Source organism: Homo sapiens, chromosome 13 (genome assembly GCF_000001405.40).
Source record: "Homo sapiens chromosome 13, GRCh38.p14 Primary Assembly".
NCBI classification, from domain to species: domain Eukaryota; kingdom Metazoa; phylum Chordata; class Mammalia; order Primates; family Hominidae; genus Homo; species Homo sapiens.
Genome location: NC_000013.11, coordinates 22,974,764 through 22,980,062, shown reverse-complemented (window position 1 = coordinate 22,980,062; position 5,299 = coordinate 22,974,764). Strand labels below are relative to the sequence as shown.

At 49.1% G+C, this 5,299-nt stretch overlaps 1 long non-coding RNA gene across 2 annotated transcripts, besides 1 other annotated feature; it reads left to right on the top strand.

The window, feature by feature from the left end:
- Positions 332 to 501: an enhancer, noted in NCBI's record as "experimental_32663 CRE fragment used in MPRA reporter constructs". NCBI's record gives its function as "activates a minimal promoter by MPRAs in K562 erythroleukemia cells, with activity observed for the non-introgressed 13:23553786 variant allele {active_cell/tissue: K562}" and the evidence as "EXISTENCE:reporter gene assay evidence [ECO:0000049][PMID:34662402]".
- Positions 1,665 to 4,373, top strand: LOC105370111 (uncharacterized). Of its 2 annotated transcripts, none has more exons than XR_941742.2 (3): positions 1,665 to 1,767; positions 2,437 to 2,564; positions 4,003 to 4,373. It is a non-coding gene; the product is annotated as an uncharacterized LOC105370111 (long non-coding RNA). The 2 variants fall into 2 exon arrangements; XR_941743.2 differs by having other exon boundaries at positions 2,437 to 2,723.
- The last annotated feature ends 926 nt before the right edge of the window (positions 4,374 to 5,299 follow it).

Sequence of the window (5,299 nt, the reverse complement as noted above, 5' to 3'; positions counted from 1 at the left end):
CTTGTTCTGTCTGCATAGCACGGAGCTTTCTGGATAGATTTCTGAACCCAAGCTTCTTTCAAATATGTTAGAAACAGCAAGAGAAGCTGGCTGTTTCTTTTAACTAGCTGCATCTATCTGTTTAGAGAGTGAGGCATTTCTATCTTCCTTTCTCCAGGGATCCTTGGGAACTTTGCGAAAAAGCAAAGCACTTTGGAGAATTTAATGCTGGGAGGAAAGTGGTTTCCAGGGGAGAGGTCTGTTCCAAAAACAAGGGCTAGAGGCTGGTGTATGGGACATCTTAAACTAAGTTCTTGGTTTTGCTTCAATTTTTCTTTCCATAGATCAGGGATTGGGACACCCTGCTGCATGCTCTTCACCCCCCATCAGGAATTCCTGAAGTCCATGCTCATGGACCATGGGAAGTTAAGGAGGCGGAGAGATGCTGGCAAGCCTCAGCAAGACTGCCCAGGACCGCCCCTGTAGCCCTCATTCCCCAGGCCCACTCAGCCCAGCCGGCCAGCAAATGTGAGAATGATCTGCATCTGTTTTTGTGTAGGCCAAGGTCAAGGATTTCCACCGCAGCTCGAGGGGCTGAGGGTAAGTCTCTGCAATCTTGCTCCTAGACATCTTTAAAATTAGGTCTGGGATGAGCCTGTCACTAGTGGATTAGGTAGAAAGGTTTTATGAAGTCAAGGGTAAAATGCCTGGAGGGTGAACTGGCTGGTCTGGTTCTAGAACTGGAGGTGGTGCCTAGCAGCGCCTTTGTAAGAAGACACAGCCAGGCCTGATATGTGATGGTGTGTGTGTGTGTGTGTGTGTGTGTGTGTCTGCACACAGATATCCTGGAGCATATGTATATTTCCTCTCATGTCAGATAAACCTTACAGATTACAAAGTACTTTGACGTCCTTTCTCTGGATCCCTCAACAGGAGGCAGGGCAAACACTATTAAGCCCCATTACAAATGAAGCAATTTTGACTAGCCTTAAAAAAAAAATGAAATAAACAAATGGGGCAGCTGAAGCCCCATTCAGTGACTTGCCCAGGGTCACAGGAAGAATGAGTGCAGTGCCCAGCCTGGGTGCGCTCTTCTGTGCCAAGCTGCTGCTTCTCCTGGGCATGGCTGGGCCTTGTGCAGGGGACATTTCTCTTTTTTTTTGATGAGTCCTGGATACCTTCAGTCACACAGATATCACTCATGTGTGGTGAGGAGAAAATGTGTTTTCAGGCTGTATCGGTCAAAACAAAATACCACTTATTTCTCATAGTTCTGGAGGTTTGGGAGTCTAAGATGAAGGTGGCAGCTGGATTGGTTCCTGGTGAGGGCTGTCATCCTGGTTTGCAAAGAGCTGCCTTCTCTCTGTGTCCTCACATGGTCAGAAGAGAAAAGGTGGGGTAGGTGAGAGAGAGAGAGAGAGAGAGAGAGCTCTTGTCTAACTAAACCCATCATGAGGGCCCCACTCTGATGACCTCATCTAACCCTAATTACCTACAAAAGGCCCATCTCCAAATACCATCACATTGGGGGTGAGGGCCTCAACAGAGAAATTTGGGGAGGACACAGACATGCCATCTACGATACAGGTGGAAACCCATCTGTTCCTCACCACTGGCGGAGACCACAATCTGCAGCCATGGAGACAGTGGAATGCTTTTCCTACAACGGGATCCGTCTGCCCTAGAAGAGGGGGCAAGGAAGGAAAACAAAGCTGCAAGCACTGAAGAATATTAACAAGAGAATAAGGTTGCCAGATTTAACAAATAAAAATATAAAACGCCGGCCAGGTGAGGTGGCGCACGCCTGTAACCCTAGCACTTTAGGAGATTGAGGTGGGCAGATCACCAGAGGTCAGGAGTTGGAGACCAGCCTGGCCAACATGGCAAAACCCCGTCTCTACCAAAAATACAAAAATTAGTTGGGCGTGGTGGCGGATGCCTGTAGTCCCAGCTACTCGGGAGGCTGAGGCAAGAGAATTGCTTGAACCCGGGAGGCAGAGGTTGCAGTGAGTCGAGATCGTGCCGCTACACTCCATCCTGGGTGACAAGAGAGAGACTCTGTCTGAAATACATATATATGTATATAAAACAGCTAGTTAATTTTGAATCTCAGGTAAACAATGAATAATTTTCTAGCTTAAATATGTTCCATACTTTCTTTGGGATATACTTATGATAAAAAAATTATTCACTGTTTATCTGAAATTCAGATTAACTGGGCACCCTGTATTTTATCTGGCAACCCTGAAAGAGAAGGACCAAAAACTCTTGAGGGAAGCCAATGGATTCCAGGAGGGACTGCTGTTGGACTTCTGGATGGATGCTCCTTTCATATATTTAACTTTTTAAAACTTTCTTCCTTCTTTTCCTTCTTCTTTCTCTCTTTCCTTCTTGTTCTTTCTCTTCTTGTTCTGTCTTTCTCTCCTTTCTCTCTTTCTTTCATTCTTTCTTTTCCAGCTTTTCACTGTGCCCACTGGTCACCCCTTGCTGGGCCTCCAGGGGCCTCAGTAAGGCTGGCCGAGGTACCTGCTGCCCTGCCTGGAACCCACCTCCTTAAGAATCCTGACTGCCCCACAGGAACCATGGTGAGGACTTGCTTGCCAGCAGCCATCAAGGTAGCCCGGCTCTGGGAGAGGCAGGGCGCCCCTGTGAAGTCTGATGTTTGAAAGTGCCGCTCACAGGCCTGGGCCACCTGCCATTACCAGGAAGACCTTTCCCATTCTGCAGGCCCAGGCACATCATGGGTATTTATTCCACCTCCTGCTGGGCCAGCTCTTTGGAGGATCTGCTCCCCTCCTGAGGGCACAGAGCAGGGGACCCTGGAGTCCTCTGCTCCAGGAGGGAGTCCTAGCCATGAGACTTACCCTCTTCTGGGTGGTTCCTAGCCCTACAGCATGTTCCTGGCCAAGACCCCCACCTCCTGCCCTGCCCTTGTTCCTCCCCTGCACCCTGGGGGCCTCCTCATGTTGGGCATTGCCCTGGCAACCCCTGGTCTCCATCTTCCCTCCGTCTACCCCATACCTGCTGTCAGCATCAAGTTCAAACACATCCCAGAGCATACCCTTCTGCTCAAGGACCCACCATGGCTCCCCACTGCTGTGGGGTCAGAATGCCTCTGTTCGGTCCCCAGCCCTCTGTTCGGTTCCAAATGAGTGCCTGTGCTGGGACGGCTCACACCCTCCCTGCACAGGCCATGGAACTTACACCTTCCTTTTGGAGCCCTTGGTGGTTGGGGTGTGGGCACCCCTGAGCAGGTGGTCCTGGGGATGGAATAGTGCTGGCCTGAGGCACCACAGCAGCTAACATAGCCAGGGGCTCAAACCCCTTTCTGTTGTGTTGTGTTGTGTTGAAGGACAGGGGTTGGTGTCAGTCCCGGGAGAGGAAAGGTGGTGAGACCCTCCTGGCTCCAATCCAACCCCTGCCACTGGCCAGCAGCCCCTCCAAAGCAGGGGCCCCCACATCAGTCCAGAGGGCCATCCACGCTGGTCCCTACCTGCTCCAAATATGTAAAATGACCTCACTGAAGAAAGGATGGGAGAGCAGGTGCTGCCCTAAGTGACCGTGTAAATGAGTGGAGTGTGTAAGACCAAGGGCAAAAGGGAACTGAGCATAAGCACTGCACTCTAGCTGATTAAGGTGCTTCCCACAGGAGCATCAATTCACAATCTGATCCCACAATTCATGTGTGCTGGGACTGAATGATTAAGGAGATGGATCATAAGTAGTGGGAGTCAGGCTTCTCACTGTTAGAATTTACAGATAAAACCAGGGGATGAGACTAGAATGATTCATATGTTAGTGAATTAGAATGGAAGATATTGGTATAAACTCATGTTTAGCATAATATAGATACAAATGATTACATCTAGAAATACTTGTAGGTATATGTGTGTGCATTAATTAGTATACATATATCTCTCCTCTGTCATGAGACAACCTAGAAGCAATTATGTTTCAGTAGCTATAAACACAGCTAGTGCCCAGATCTTGGCTTCTAATACTGTTCTCCATAAAACGAAACAGGGCTCCTCAGAGAAATGGCTGATTCTAGGACTGGGGCAAGAAATATACAAGATAAATCTACATAAAGGAAGTACTAAAAAAAAATCTCCAAATCCTACATTAAAGGGACACAGGAGCCAACTGGAAGAGCTCCCAACGGCCAAAGCCAGAACAACTTGAGAAACAAAATAAAGTAGGGTCGAGTCATGACCCATAATGACATAGGTGTCCATGAGTCAGTGCTGACAGAAATCAGTGACTGAATAAACTAAGTGGGAAAGAAGAGACAAATCACCATTGCAAAAGGATTCCAAATAATTTATGCAGATACCCTGCCCTCAAGGAGGGGACCGTGACTCCCCCACTCCTTAGGTGTGGGCTCTGCACCATCACTTCCTTCCCAAGAGTGTGGTATGGAAGGCAGGTGGTAACTGTCGAGGGGGGTGATGACTATCTGGGCTGGTGGCGGTAGCAGGTAGGGGGAGCATAAAAGAATCTCCCAAGACAGTTGTAGATAATGAAGGGCAGACTTATTAGAGAAAATAGGAAAACACGTTGCGAGGAGGAAATGGGCAGACTCAGCAGAAGAGGAGCTGACTGCCAGGATTCAAAGGCTTGCTAGAGGTTTTACAGGGTGGTTCTTGGGCTGCAGAGGGCTGCGTGCAGTACTGATAACACCAGGGTTGCAGGGAGCTACCTTGCATTTTTCTATCAGCCGAGGGTCTGGTGACAGCTGAGCACAGGAAGACTGAGTTATCTGTGCAGGAGGGCTGTGTGTCCTGCACCATGAAGAAGGGTTGACTTGTCTCATCTGCTGCTTCTTTTTACTTCCTCTGCGCCCTGCAGCCTGACTCCTTTTCCCTAGTTAGAACCCCACAGTGATTTCACAGCAGAGATGCCTGACGGCATGACCTCAGCCAGGGGCCAAGGTCAACGTCAGCAAGGACAGCCGTGTCGAGAGCGCACCCCCTGTGTAGGATGTGTATGCCGGTGGTGCGCTGCCTCTCTGCTTTCTTCCCCCAGCGCATAACACCAGTCACTCATGAGAAAAAGAGCACATCCCAAGAGCAGGGCATCCTGCAGAATGTCTGACTCGTACTCCCAAAAACTGTCAAGGCCATCAAAAACAAGGAAAGTTGGAGAAACTGTCACAGTTGAGAGGCGCCTAAGGAGCCAGGCCAACCAAATGCCATGTGGTGTCCTGGACGGGGCCTTTCTGGGACACGGCAAGGACATTAGGGAGAAATTAGGGAAATCTGAATTCAACATGGAGAACATGGACTTCAGTCAATACTCATGTTTCAATACTGTTTCATCA